General features: G+C 47.2%; 1 protein-coding gene across 5 annotated transcripts, besides 1 other annotated feature; it reads left to right on the top strand.

Moving 5' to 3' along the window:
- Nucleotides 1-25: 25 nt before the first annotated feature.
- Nucleotides 26-14,260, top strand: C1orf116 (chromosome 1 open reading frame 116). Of its 5 annotated transcripts, none has more exons than XM_006711530.2 (4): nt 26-75; nt 5,103-5,288; nt 7,718-7,895; nt 9,302-14,260. In XM_006711530.2, exons 2-4 carry the CDS (start codon nt 5,184-5,186, stop codon nt 10,822-10,824), a joined length of 1,806 nt encoding a protein of 601 aa, XP_006711593.1. In that variant the 5' UTR covers nt 26-75; nt 5,103-5,183; the 3' UTR covers nt 10,825-14,260. The 5 variants fall into 5 exon arrangements, with proteins under 5 accessions (XP_006711593.1, NP_076427.2, XP_011508275.1 ...); NM_023938.6 differs by having other exon boundaries at nt 26-203; XM_011509973.3 differs by lacking the exon at nt 5,103-5,288.
- Nucleotides 12,036-13,235: an enhancer, noted in NCBI's record as "BRD4-independent group 4 enhancer chr1:207192892-207194091 (GRCh37/hg19 assembly coordinates)". NCBI's record gives its function as "activates an origin of replication core promoter dependent on BRD2, P300/CBP, MED14 and CDK7 cofactors, and independent of BRD4, by STARR-seq in HCT116 cells {active_cell/tissue: HCT116}" and the evidence as "EXISTENCE:reporter gene assay evidence [ECO:0000049][PMID:35650434]".
- Nucleotides 14,261-14,946: the final 686 nt, after the last annotated feature.

The following is a 14,946-nucleotide window of genomic DNA, read 5'->3' as shown; positions in this document are numbered from 1 at the left end:
AGGGGAGGCTAGGATTGGCTGAGTCAGTGGCAGGGTGGGGGCCAGGCAGCACAGATGAAGCATTTACCTATCTAGGTAAGTCAGGAGGAGCTCAAAAGGAGAAGAAAACAGTAGGAGGCAGGGGAAGCAGCCTCTGTCTCCATCTCTGCCCTTTGAAACAAAAGGGTATTTCTTTTCTCTCTTCAGCCCCCAACCCAGTGGAGGTGAGTTAATCACTAACCAACTATTGCTTATCCTATAGCAATAGGAAGGGGTTTCATGGGAAATCAGAGCTACAGGGGAGGGGAGGTGTCCCTCTATACCCCAGCTAGGGAGATTTCCTCTCTGTTCCTCAATTCTCTGAGTCCATTCTGGGATCAGATCAGGTTGGTAGCAACTTGAGATTGTAGTGTTTTTGTGGAGACTGGGGCTGGGAGGCACCTTCTTTTTCATTTATCCCTTTAGGTTGGATAGGCATATTGTGCAAACAACAAGAAAAAGAAAATAGATTTGTTTTGGAAATTTCCATCTCTGAACAATTGAAATTGAGTTGTGATTTTAGAAAAGAACAGTTGAAATAGAGGGAGTCAAAATGGGGGAGAGTATCTTGGTTTTCCATAGCGACTGTAACAGGAAATTCTCCCGTGGCTTTACCAACTCGGTGTCGATCTTTATTTAAATAATGGGTGCAATGTGTGTGTGTGTTTGATCATGCTCATGTGATAATGGAGCTCTCTGTGTACAGGTGTGTTAGGCATGAGCTGTACTAGGTTGTTTGTAAAGGGATATGAGGTTGGGGCACATGGAGAAAACTTCAGCTACCAGCTCATCTTTGGAAAACCCATGGATAATCTAGCTGCAAAGTCAAGTTTATTTGGATTCTACTCAATTAACTTTCTGACTCAGCCTGTTAATAGACACAGAGACTGGCAAACAGAAAGCTACCTGGCTGTGCCGAGCCTCACCCACATGAATATTTCGTGGCTGCATGTCAAGTCTAGTTAGAGTTCCAAGTGGGGCTCAAGCCAAGGTAGTGTGGCAGAGTCCACAGACAGAGAAGCAGACCAGGGTGGTGGCTTTGTTTGTTTTCCTGCAGGTGTCCCAGTTGGCAGTTTGTGTGGCAGATTTACCTGCAGAAGGAAGGCAGATGTAGGAGTCGAGTCAGAGTAGCAAGTTGCCTCTCCATTATCCATCTTGGGGGGTTTAACCCTTTGGTCCCTAACTTTGACTCTTTTCCTCCTGCTGCAGAGAAGAGGGAAGTGGGAAGCCCTCAGTGCCAGGCTCAAGGGCCTGGCACACGCAGCCCTGAGTGAATATATGGGTTTTCCAGTCCTGGCAACTGGAGATTTAGGCTTGAGCTCACCTCACACCACAGAGCCAACACCCCACACTCACAGACTGAGGGCTGCCCTAGATGGTGAATTTAGGAATAAAGACCACTGGCAGTGTCTAACAAAGCTCTGCTATGCAGAGGGTATTTCTACCTGCTCCTTCCCTCAAACACACTGGTGAAAGGGAAGATGATAATGTTGCCTAAACACACACAGAAACTTGCCCATGTGTTCATGGAGACAGATATGCAAACTGTGCAAGTTTTAGTCATTCTGCTATTTTTCTTAGGATATTTTCCAGCCCAAGGCACATTTCTGGGTAGTCAACAAGAAGCAAAGACACCTGGATTGAAAGACAGGAAACCTCTTTGACTAGTAGGCAGAGAGGCAAAGCTCTTGGAGGACATGTGGGGGGTTCGTGGGAGGAGGATGAGAGGGACCTGGGTCTGATTAGAAGGTACAGACAAGCCAACCTGGAATGGAGCTGGAGCCCTCTCCCCACCCCACCATCTCCAGATGCCAGAACTTGAACTGTTCTTTATTTCCTCTCCTCCAAGGCTTGGCAGTATTTAGTATTTTAGTCAGTGGTGTAGTTAATATTTAATGTGTCTTTGGATGGGTGGCCCTGACTATAGGTGCTGCATATTTCTTAACCCATTCCCTCCTCCCGTTAAGTTCCCAAAGAGGTCAAGGGTTAAGATACCAAACTCTCACCTTGAGTGTTTTGTTTGTTTCTCAGTCTTCTTATCAGGGTTTCGATGGCTGCCCTGAAAGAGCCCCAAGGTTCAAGGTTGTGAAGTCGGTGAAAGGAAATGCAGCTTTCACCATTAAGATTCTTTAGGTCAGAAAACTAGGTATGGAGATGAGGTGACAGCGCCTCGCTCAGCTTTGGTTTCAGGTTCAGATTCCTCTGTGCAGGGATTATGTAATCCCTAAAGACATGATCTTCCTTGGCAGTTGGTGTCATTTCTTTACTGTAGAAATATCTGCTGTTGGGGCAATACACTGGTCTGGAAGTATAAAGCTGAAGCAGATGATTTGCAGGGTTTAAGGTATGAAGTAGAAGGAGAAGGGGGTTTTAAGGCTTTTAGTATTTTAGTCAGGGGTGGCTAGTAACCATTCTCGGGGGCATGCCCCTCTTGCATCCAGATAGTCCCTGAAATGCCCTGTGGAGGGCTGCCCTGTATATGCATGTATAGGTCATTCCCTGTTTCCCTTAGGAAGGGCTAGTGGTAAGAGCCATAACTTTCTCACCCGTAAAATGAAGAAAACGTCACATCCTGCCTATGTTTCCAGTTTATGCTGAAGATCGAATTAGCATATCTGAGAGTACTTTGCAAGCTATGGCATGCTGTGTTCTTGTGAAGCAGTGCTTTTCCTACCACTTTTATCTCTTCCAGCTACTTGAAGACATCCTAGGTTCTGAAACAAAAGTGTGATAAGCTTCCCTGGTAGGAAAGAGAGACTAGAAAACCTCTGTAAAGTCTAAAGCATACTTAGAAGCACAAGGGTAGTAATTTTCTCTGAAAGTAAGAGGCAGCATCTGCTCACCCATTCATAGAGAATATGATGTTAATTACAGTGAGTCACTTTAAATATTTACTGCCCTGATTTTACAGAGAAGAAAATTGGAGCCCAAAACTAGACCCTTAGATCTACATTGACTTTTTGACAACAATGCCTTTGTCTTATACAGTTTTGTAACACCAGCGCCTATTATTAGGTGCTCATAAATGTTAGTTTAACTGAAAACATTGCCCAAATTTCACTGAGCCATATATTATCCAGGAAATTAAGTATTTAAGTAAAAGCTGACAGTTATAGGTTAGAAACCAAGAAGAAGCCTTCCAAAAGCTCAACCTAATAGACCCTAGAACAGATGGCAAGTTCATTCATTCGGCATTTTTTGAGTGTTTTCTGTGTGCCTAGACTCACAGAGATGGAGCTCCTTTGCTATAGTGGCCTCAACCCTACACAATGTTAGGAATGGGTTAGTCCTCCCTGAACTTGGGCATCATTCATGGAGTGGGTAGCTGAGATGACTGAACTTCATCCACATGATTTCTCATGTTCCTGTTTCTTTGAGCTTCTGGGTATTGGGGAGCTAACCTCATGAAGAAACCCTAAGAGCTTCCTCACCCCACATTTATTTATCATTGGGCTTCTTTGGTGTCTCTGCCCCTCCAGTCCCCTCCTTATCTCCTAGGAGGATCTGGACCCCTATGAACCAGATGTCTGGCTCACTAGGGATCTCTCCTGTTTTCCCCCCAGTGTTCTGCCCCTCCATACCTGCCCCTTTTAAGAGACTCCTCCCAAGCAGAAGAGGAGCTCCTTGGGGCTCCATACTTGCCAGCTCTATAGGGATGGAAAGCTGACTCACCCAACCCAGCCCAAACTTGACTTTGGCACTGGAAGCAATTATTACCAGAGGCCAAGAGGACATCTGCCCTGGCATCCAAAGCCCAAGCCTCCAGATCTCAAATAGATCACGTTTTCTTCTAGGACATTTTACCTAGTGTTGGGAGGGTTGGAAAGATGAAAGAAAATATAGGATGGCATTATAAGGAAAATATGGATTTAGAATCAGACAAACTTTATTCTAATTCTGGCTCTCCTCCAACTCTCTGTTTGATCTTGGAACTGTCTTTTCATCTTAATTCTTTTAGAATTTCATTTTAACATAGCAGACTCACTTCTGGCCTGCCATCTCCAGTGGAGTATTTCCCACAAACAGCCACATCAAAATCCTTGGGACTTTCAGAGGGAAGATGGCACTGCCTTCCTTTGCTACTACTATTGTTACAATGACATTGAAACTTTTTTTCCCTAAGGAATTAGAGTTGGGAGGAAGCTACATGGGACATTTCTCTTGTTCATTTGACATAGGCTAGGGAATCTCATTGGGAATGTGTGCAACAACAGAGGCACTAGAAAGAAAGAGATTCACTAGAAAGAAAATAGGTTTGTGTCAACCACTGCAGGTGCCCTGTTCATGCCTCCAGGCTAGGGAGTTAAAGATGGGTATCGTAGCGGTGGTTGTGATGATGTTGATGATATTGACTGTGATAGCAGGTGACAATTTGCTCTGTGCAAAGTGTTTTAAACGTTCTCACAATAACCCCATGAGGTAGGTATTATTAAGGGACCTGTTTCTTCTCTCAAGTCTACAGTCTCCCATCAAACCAGAACCCTTCTTTTCTGAGATCCTGTTTCTCTTGTTTCAATTTAGTTTGATCCTAGATAGATCTTGTCTTTTTCTTGTTACAAGAACAATAATAGTTAATTATTGACTCATGAGGTCTTAGGGTATTTACTACCAACTAAACTGTGCTAACTGTTCTCTCATTTAATCCTTATACTAACATTATTTAATGAGGAAAAACAGACTCAGAGTAATTTGCCCCAAGTCACATAACTGTAAATGGCTAAACTGGGATTTGAGCCCAGACCCAACTAACTCCAGAACCCAAGGTATTGACGCCTGTAATATTTATTGCTTATAGTAATGAAAATGTAGATTAAGCTCCTTGGTTCAGAGAAAAATGTAAGAGAAGTAGTAGAAGCTTCTTTCTGACTAGACTGCCTCTCCACCAACTAAGTCTGTCCTTCTGCATGTATTTAAGCCAGCTTCAGGGTCCTTCCATGCAGGCCGGGGGTGTCGGGCAGTGGCTGTTCATGCCCCCCTTCCAGCTCTCTGCTTGCTTGGTGTCCTTCCCGCCATGCCGCCCAGGGCCTGGGCAGAGCCTTGCCGAAGCCTCGGCTCATGTGTGGCTTTGATTCTTCTCTTTTCAGGCCCGGCTTGGGACATTGTTCACTTCCCCTCGCTTCCCCTCTAGAAGCCCCCTTTGCCATCCCTGCACCTTGTTTCGGGTGATGCCCGAGAGGGAGCTGTGGCCAGCGGGGACTGGCTCAGAACCCGTGACCCGTGTCGGCAGCTGTGACAGCATGATGAGCAGCACCTCCACCCGCTCTGGATCTGTACGTAATACTCTCCCTCCCGCAACCTGGTCTGCTCTCTGCACACCTGCCCTGCCCTGCCCTGCCCTATCCTTTCCTGCCACCCATCCTGGCTCACTGCACCTTCTCTTTCATTGTTGGGGAGTGATTCACAACACCAGTGGGTGCTTTCTGCCTGAGTCAGCCCTGGCTCTATAGAGAATAGGATGGGACGACCTTAGAGAGCAACTGGGCAAATGAGACTTTTTCCGCCGATTTTCATTAGGTTGGGGGTTGGGTTGAGCAGAGAGAGTAGGCCTGTAATCTGAGGTCATGGTGGAAACCAGAACATAGATTCTTGTAGCACATGGATTATTGAAGTTCTCTGCAATGAGCAGCATTACTTTAGTCTCTTACAAAGATCAAAGAAAATAGGTAATTAGGAGCCTAGGTTCTGGAACCAAACAGATTTAAGTTCTCTACTTATAAGCTGTATGACCTTGGGCAAATTACTTAATTTCTCTAAGCTTTAGCCTCCTCAGTTTTCAAATGGGATACTTAGTGTTCATACCCAATTCAATTTGTGGGGAGTAAATGTGATACAGGTAAAGCACCTAGCATATGCCTCTATATAGAAAAGAATCAGCCTTTCTAGGAGCAGAGACTGAGAATCTTCCAAAGTCACTGTGTTTAGCTACTTGTGAGTGGCATTTAATAAACTGTAATTTTTCTGGGCATGAATTTAAATCTCAGTTGTTGTGAGGCTGGTGTGAAAGAGTAAATCTGTGCTGCATCCAGACGCAAACATTTGTTGTTCATGCTTGTCACATACATAAGAATCATAGAGAATTTATGCTTTTTTGCATTGTATCCTATAGAGGTATTTGAAAATTTAAGGGTGTCTACTGAATGTCAAGATGTTTAAGACAACCAGTGGATTTTGATATGTAAAAATAGAGTAGAGAAAGAAACACACATGCACAAATCCAAAGTGCAGACAATCATACAAATTTCATTTTGACCCTAGATAATGGGGCTGTGGAGACGTCTTTCTATGTCTTTTAGGCTGAGGCCAACGTGAATAGTCACATAGCATTGGACACAGAATGTGACAGGGATTAAAGGTTTTCAAAGTGAATCATTCATGAAGGAGAAACTCAGAGTCAGCTTATCCTTGGCAAGGCTATTTTAGGAGGAAGAGGACAATAAAGATATTTTTCTTCAAGAAACTCTTGGCGTCAGCTTCAGAGCTTCCAGGGGCTATATTTGGGGCTTGCTTTAACATGTAGGCCCACATGCGAAAGGAAGTTCCAGAGGCAAATGGAAGGGTTATTCTGCAACCCTCTCCCCTCCCTCCAGGATATTTTTAGAGCTGTCTCAAAATCTTTCCTGGCCATCTGAGTGGGCCTGAAGAATATACAACTCTGAAGTGTCCCAAATATTAGGAAAAGGGCTGGAGATGCCAAGAAGAGACTTGGCCCAAATTTCTTATATTCCAATTTGCCCTTTTGTTTTCCCTTCAACCTCCTCTGTGGAAGAGCAACTATTCCAGCAAACTTCTAGCCCCATACAACATAGACAGTAACTGTCTGAGATGACCATTATTATTTTCTTCCAAAAACCTCTATGTACTCTCTCATAATGAATATGATCTACTTTAAGATCTACTTAATATTTAATACTAAGCTGCTTTTCCCTCCTCCCATACCATCCAGTTTCTCCACCAACCTCCCCCTTTAAGTTAATATTTGCTTTAGAAATGCACACTTACTTGAACATTAGCCAGAGCCAAATGTCATCAAGAAAGTAAATGTACAAGGGGAAAAATTCCCGTATGGAATGCATTTCAAAGTCAAGTACAAATCATTTAGTACATTTATCTGTGGCCAGTCATGCCACAGTTCCTACTGGCCTGGCAGCTCATAGCTGGCTTCATTTCCTGCTTTTCCTCATACTGCCCTTGACATACCAGATCAAGTATGCAGAAGTACTTTTAAAAGTTAAAAGCAATACCACTGAAGTTTCAGGTCAAATTGTTATGTTGCACTTCTTATTTGGAGCTAAATCAGAGGTGCTCAAAGTGAGATGTTTGACAAAGGCTGTCAAACATTGAAACTTGGGACTGCTTCTAATCTGTGCCCCTAAGCATTCAAGCCAGGACTGAGCAAAAGAAAGGCCCCTGCCATGTGCCTGCCCAGCTCCAGAGCTGGGCGCTAGTGGGCCAGCCTCCTGACAGACTCTGCCCTCCCTGGTGCCTACAGTTTCAGGAGGCAACTCCAGCAGCTTTGCAGAGTAGCAGGAGGGAAAGGTTTCCAGCTCTTCAGCATTCCTTCCTCTCTGCAGGGTGGTTCTCAGGCCCCGCCAGTTTCTGCGGAGGGAGCGCTTTCTCACAGCTCTCTCTCCCTCTCCTGTTCTTCTTCTCGCCCTCCCCCCCGCCTCCCCGCCCCCGCCCCCAACCCCAAACCCAACAGAGTGATAGCAGCTACGACTTCCTGTCCACTGAAGAGAAGGAGTGTCTGCTCTTCCTGGAGGAGACCATTGGCTCACTGGACACGGAGGCTGACAGCGGACTGTCCACTGACGAGTCTGAGCCAGCCACAACTCCCAGAGGTTTCCGAGCACTGCCCATAACCCAACCCACTCCCCGGGGTAAGGCAGACCCTCTGGGGTGGAACCCCAGCAAAACCCAGAAAATCAATATGTCCCCTCCGGCCACTTTCTACCTCGCCTGCCCTCTACCCCAAGGGTCACAGGCAGAAGAAGGTGTAGCCACACTCCTCACCACTCTCCTGGCTAGAACAGAGCCTTGTCCCTGGAGGGAAGGAGGGACCCCTGGCAAGCCAGCTTCCTATGTCTGTCTATGAAGTATCAGAGCTCTAGAAGGGAAAGGGGTTTGACCAGCTCCCATTCTCCTGTGGAAAAATTCTAAAGAGATATGACCGCAGAGGCGGGGGAGGGAGTCAGGGAGGGCTGGGTGGTTGGCTCTGGAGAGACTGAGTCAGTCTAGAGAGCTAATCTGGGTGACACAGAGGACAAGGGTAGGAGAGATAAGGAGAAGGAAGGGCTCCCCAGCTGCAGTGGGAAGTACCTCAAGGCCCTCGTTAGAGAGCGTGGAAAGCCAGTGGTATTCAGGCTCAGCAGAAGGGGAACAAAACAACACACAAGTGTGGCCATGACTGTGGGGCCACATGTCCCAGGGTGTGAGAAACCTTTTACTCCTGAGGACAGTCCCGCTGGTATTGGGGCTGCAGTTTTGTGTTGTTTCATTTAGCAAATATTTATTAACAAGTAGTTAGACCTTCCCTGGAGCTAGAGCTATAAATGGGGACGTAGGGCTTTCCTGCTCCATGAGGCTGATTCACTGGCCCAGGGGGCCTGATGTACCTGCCTAGCTCACTGGAAGGAAAGGAGTCACTTTCTGGTGTGGGGACACTATGGCTATTACAGAATTATCCACATGCTCATAGAAAGTGCAAGTAGAAGGCAGAAGCCTGGTTGAATCAAGAGCAAATCACTTATTCAGAGGCTTGCATTGGGCTCAGTTATCTGGGAGGCCCAAAATAGCTAGAAGGAACTGTCCCAAATTTATCTCCAACCCTGGTGCCTCTGTAGAAAACTGGGGAGAGGTCAAGTCAATAACTTAGAGCAATCAGGGGTCACTCTCTTGCCGCCCATCATGAAAAATTAATTCTCAGTCAAAAAAAGATATGCTATTATTATTTGTAGAAATGGGGGTCTCTTATGTTGCCCTGGTTGGTCTCGAACTCTTGGGCTCAAATGATCCACTTGCTTTGGCCTCCCAAAGTGCTGGGATTACAGGCATGAGACACTGCGCCTGGCCCTGGATCTGCTATTACTGATCTATTAGTCTAAATGATATCCAGACAAAAGTGCTGCTCTTGTAAAAGCAAAGAAAACAAGGCAAAATAAAACCCATTCATTGCTAGTTTGGGATCAGAGTTCAGGAAGTCATTGCTTTCCCCTCTGCAGCAGGGCCCTCACCTCTGTCCACTCTTTTTCTGTCCACTCTTTTATGTTCTTTCTGACCCTCACAGGAGGTCCAGAGGAGACCATCACTCAGCAAGGACGAACGCCAAGGACAGTAACTGAGTCCAGCTCATCCCACCCTCCTGAGCCCCAGGGCCTAGGCCTCAGGTCTGGCTCCTACAGCCTCCCTAGGAATATCCACATTGCCAGAAGCCAGAACTTCAGGAAAAGCACCACCCAGGCTAGCAGTCACAACCCTGGAGAACCGGGGAGGCTTGCGCCAGAGCCTGAGAAAGAACAGGTCAGCCAGAGCAGCCAACCCAGGCAGGCACCTGCCAGCCCCCAGGAGGCTGCCCTTGACTTGGACGTGGTGCTCATCCCTCCGCCAGAAGCTTTCCGGGACACCCAGCCAGAGCAGTGTAGGGAAGCCAGCCTGCCCGAGGGGCCAGGACAGCAGGGCCACACACCCCAGCTCCACACACCATCCAGCTCCCAGGAAAGAGAGCAGACTCCTTCAGAAGCCATGTCCCAAAAAGCCAAGGAAACAGTCTCAACCAGGTACACACAACCCCAGCCTCCTCCTGCAGGGTTGCCTCAGAATGCAAGAGCTGAAGATGCTCCCCTCTCATCAGGGGAGGACCCAAACAGCCGACTAGCTCCCCTCACAACCCCTAAGCCCCGGAAGCTGCCACCTAATATTGTTCTGAAGAGCAGCCGAAGCAGTTTCCACAGTGACCCCCAGCACTGGCTGTCCCGCCACACTGAGGCTGCCCCTGGAGATTCTGGCCTGATCTCCTGTTCACTGCAAGAGCAGAGAAAAGCACGTAAAGAAGCTCTAGAGAAGCTGGGGCTACCCCAGGATCAAGATGAGCCTGGACTCCACTTAAGTAAGCCCACCAGCTCCATCAGACCCAAGGAGACACGGGCCCAGCATCTGTCCCCAGCTCCAGGTCTGGCTCAGCCTGCAGCTCCAGCCCAGGCCTCAGCAGCTATTCCTGCTGCTGGGAAGGCTCTGGCTCAAGCTCCGGCTCCAGCTCCAGGTCCAGCTCAGGGACCTTTGCCAATGAAGTCTCCAGCTCCAGGCAATGTTGCAGCTAGCAAATCTATGCCAATTTCTATCCCTAAGGCCCCAAGGGCAAACAGTGCCCTGACTCCACCGAAGCCAGAGTCAGGGCTGACTCTCCAGGAGAGCAACACCCCTGGCCTGAGACAGATGAACTTCAAGTCCAACACTCTGGAGCGCTCAGGCGTGGGACTGAGCAGCTACCTTTCAACTGAGAAAGATGCCAGCCCCAAAACCAGCACTTCTCTGGGAAAGGGCTCCTTCTTGGACAAGATCTCGCCCAGTGTCTTACGTAATTCTCGGCCCCGCCCGGCCTCCCTGGGCACGGGGAAAGATTTTGCAGGTATCCAGGTAGGCAAGCTGGCTGACCTGGAGCAGGAGCAGAGCTCCAAGCGCCTGTCCTACCAAGGACAGAGCCGTGACAAGCTTCCTCGCCCCCCCTGTGTCAGTGTCAAGATCTCCCCAAAGGGTGTCCCCAATGAACACAGAAGGGAGGCCCTGAAGAAGCTGGGACTGTTGAAGGAGTAGACTCTGCGACCAGTACAGACCCTGTCCTGGCTGAACAAGAAGAGACACATGCTCCACTTGGGAGCCTTTGCCACCACGCAACTCAGGGCTCAAGATGAATGGGAGGGAGAGATTTGAGTCCAAGCATACATTTATATTCAGTGTTGTGCCATTGAGTTCCCATGTGGATCATTCTGAAGGTGATCTCCACAAGAGGGTGTGTGTGTGTGTGTTTGGTGTGTGTGTGGAGGGGGGGCCGCTGGATACATCACTGAAGCTATTGATATAACACAATGAGTCACTGTTCAGAATTTTGCTCTTGTTAGATGTTTTCTTACATTGGGTAGAGTCCAGCCTAGTGAGAGCTGAGTGAAGGGGCTGGCCATGCCTGAGACAAAAAGTCAAATGAGACAATGGACGTGTCAATGACTTGAAAAAAAGTCACATCCAGCAAATGCAGGGTCACATGAAATATGGGCCTCCTGGAATCCCTACAGTGGATGGAGACTGGCTCATACCTTGCCAGATCCCTCTCTCAGTTCCAGCCTTCTGGACAAGGCCTGGGCTAAGAGGAGCTGATTCGTTATCTCTTCACCCACTGCCCTCTCAGTATCACCAGTCCCAAAGACAGGATACGTCCCTGTAACCCAATCTCTCGGTTGATTGATAGCAGAACAGCTCTTGTTGGTCTGAGAAGGCAGGATAAGTGACCACATATTTATGCCACTACCTCCACCAGGGAGAGTCCTTCTCCACAGGCTTGATAAATTCAATCACCAACTGTGCTGTCGTCCCTGACTCTGCTACTCCCGTTCTTCCTGCTTTCCTGCTCCGTATCTCAGTCTGCACTGACCCCAGGGCTGGGCTGACATCAAGATGGGAGCCCAGCCCACGGGCTTTATAAACACCCAAGAACCGTTTCAGATCTTCTCTGTGCTGATGCAGGTAGTTTTAAATTTTTCTCAGTTCCAGTGATAGAAAACCCACACAATACATCCTCTGCCAGTCTTAATAGAATATCAGAGGTAAGAGGGGCCTCAGAGAAGCTCTGACGCAGTGCTGCTGGGGAAGGGAAGTGACTAACCCCGGGTCAGCCTGCCATTTAGGGAAAGAGCTGAGGTTCTTACCCTTGTTGCATGCTGCCACCTCTCCTTAGCCAGTGCTCTTGTACATCCACACAGCACCCTAAGGAGCCATAGTCACCATCAAAGACTCAACCCTAAGGCCCTTCAAGATCTCAAAGTGCCTTCTGAAGCATCAGAGATTAAATATTGTTCAAACTAATAGTTATTGCTGTGGCTTTTAATTTTATCTTTGGAAGATAGCTATATGGTAACTCATCATTAACCAGAACACCTCTCCCCTCAAATTCCGTGACCAAGTTGTGCAGCTTGAGCAAATGCCGAAAGAGGGTATTATGGGTGGGTGGTGTGGGCTTGCAAATACAAGCTTGGAGGTGAGACATGGCCAGACATGACTCCTGCTTCCCCTTAGGAAGTAAATCTTACTTATGGTTGTGAACTGCTTGGAGTCCAGGATGCCCAGATGTGAGGGGCAGATGAAGGGAATGTTGCTGGAAAGGTGCCTTTTAAGGCTGCTGAGAATTTCTGGACTGTGTCCTGATGGACGCAGCACCATCAAAGCCCAGAATTTCTGAAAACGGTGACAAGGTTAACATAAGGACAACAAATACTCCACCCTGTCATGGTATGTGAGGTGTGGGTGTGGCGGTTTCTGTGTACGTTTGCTCATACACGCACATCCAAAAGCCTGTGCCTCATTCCTGGCCATGGGTGAGGACTTGGTCTGTCACGGCTGATGAGGACTCCCACAACCGGCCAAGTTATGTCTTATTATACACCCCCAGAAAGAGAGAAAGCTGCCTTCTGGAGGACTGATTCCACATGCTATATTCAGCTGAGTTGATTTCTGTGTCTATTTCAACCCATAACCTGAAGAATGATCACCTTATTCCTTATTCATTAATTTTCTTGATTAATAGGGAAACTTGGGAATAGCTATAAAGTAAAACTTGGGTGGAACCTGGGGCCCTGGCATCACACAAGTGTGATTAGGATGGTCAAGGTCATCAGGAGTACAGCCTATTATATTCCCACATCCTGAGAAAGGTCATTTCTCCCACACACGACAAAGTCACAGACATCCTGCACCTGCCACTAGGCATCCTCATCCTACTGACATGCCCATTTCTCCAGTTTTCTTAATCTGAGACTCCCTTCCCTTGTTTTTTAAAGATACCGTGCTTCTCCACATCCTCATCCTTCAAGGAGCATATTTTGCTCTTAGGATGGTCTTTGGGATTCAAGAATAGAATAATAAATCCAAACTTGGTCATTCCCATTTTGAAGAGATGCAAGAGGGCCCAGTGAGGACATCCGCCTCCCTGAAAGTGGTGCTAGACAGAGCTGAGGTCATTGTATCTGTGTATCCACATAGGATTTCTCTTAATTCAGCTTGAATTGATGGGGAGGGAGGTAAGAGTAGGGTCAGAGTTACTCATCCCTTTTCAAAGAATTGTGGGTGGAAGTTTGTAAAGGCCATTCATTTGATTTTCAAAATCAAAGCGACAGCTCTACTTCCACTTGGCCTTAGATCTCTGCTATACCCTGCCATAGCCTTGATGCCACTGGGCACAAGCCACCTGCCAAATACAGGAGTGGCCTCTCCCAGCCTGGCATGATAGGGGGGTCTGTGCCCTCAGATGTGTTGACAGCTGCTCTTCTGAATTGCCACACCTGTGCTACACTTGGAATTCTGTGCTCTGACTCTGCAGGGTAGGACCACGTGCCATCTCACACAGAGGTCAACCGATGAGCCCACTCACTCGTACATGCCTTCTTCCACAGTGGGAAGCATGATCTGGCAGGGGCCGCCCTGTAGGCTGGGGATGGGCTGCTGTGTGAATGTTGACGTTCGTTTCATGGAGAAAGGGGAGGTGAAAGATTGAAGAGCAGGTTCCTGTCAATGTTCTGAGTTCGAGCTGGAGGTGTAGATTGAATAGTCTACATGGTCTGTGAGTGTGTGAGATGAACCCTTCCATCCTTTGACACCTGGTTGTATGTGTAGGCTAAGAAGGAAGGACCCTCCTGTCAGTGTGCAAAGCTGTAATCTCATGGACTAGAGGAGAGGGGGCCAAGGGGATGGACAGGAGAAGTCATGCAGAATCTAAGCAGGAATGCAGATAGAACACATCTAGGCTCTTTTCCCCAGGAGAGTGATGATGGAGCATATAGATCTGGCTCAAATTCAGCCTCCATCACTTACCAGTCAGGAACCCTGGCGATATCACTTTAACTTTCTGAACCTCAGAGTCTTCACCTATAAGACGGGGAAAATAATACCACCCTTTCAAGATTGTTGAGATAAATAAGTGATATAAAACATGTAAAGCTTAGTTCTGGCCACAGTGTAGCTACTCAATAAATGATAATACTACCTTCTGGGTCTTATTTTTTTCTTCTCAAAGGAGGTGACTGTAGGGAGGGTTGGATACCAAGGGCTCACCCAACTCACTTCTGAGAGAAAGATAGAGCCTGCTGCACACAAAACTTACGGCACAACCAGGCTTCGGCACAGCCTCCACGTGACTCAGCTTCACCCATGCCAGGCTTCCTGGAGTTTGAAAAGACAGCAATTGGCATGGGTGTAATGTGTGTGTTCCGGTGCAGCCTGAACCAGCTGTTTCCAGCTTTCATATCCTCAAATCCAACTTCTCCTGTATCATCAGTCTCTTACTGCCCATGACCATAGAGCAAGCTTCTTTTTGCTTCCTTTTACTTTCTTTTGCTGTGTGGTTCAGAGAACTATATGCTGTTCTACAGTTATTTATTTTTAAAATGAAGGTAAAAAAAATAAGCATATAACAGGAGGGAACTCCTCAGAAAGAAATAAAAGCTAGAAAAGGTTTTAAAATTCCTTTTTTTTATTTTAAATAGCACGTTCTTTTAAATTTGTTCATCTCTGGAATGAATCAGGCATTAGTTATCAGGAGGCAAGAAGTACATTGGATGAGGTCTCTAAATCTCTTCAGGTGTAGGGACCTGTGAATTGCTGGAGTCATGACCACTGTCACAATCATCACTGACTGTTAGCATACACATGTGGTAAAAACAGATTACACTC

The sequence above is a fragment of the Homo sapiens genome, chromosome 1 (genome assembly GCF_000001405.40).
Source record: "Homo sapiens chromosome 1, GRCh38.p14 Primary Assembly".
In the NCBI taxonomy this organism is placed as follows: Eukaryota; Metazoa; Chordata; class Mammalia; order Primates; family Hominidae; genus Homo; species Homo sapiens.
Note: the sequence above shows the minus strand (reverse complement) of the source record. Positions and strands in the feature narration are given on the sequence as shown.

Coding starts and splice junctions, on each gene's coding strand:
- C1orf116 (XM_006711530.2), top strand. CDS start 5,184: ATGCCCGAGAGGGAGCTGTGGCCAGCGGGGACTGGCTCAGAACCCGTG. Junction 5,289..7,717: donor CCTCCACCCGCTCTGGATCT/GTACGTAATACT, acceptor CAAACCCAACAG/AGTGATAGCAGCTACGACTT. Junction 7,896..9,301: donor AACCCAACCCACTCCCCGGG/GTAAGGCAGACC, acceptor TGACCCTCACAG/GAGGTCCAGAGGAGACCATC.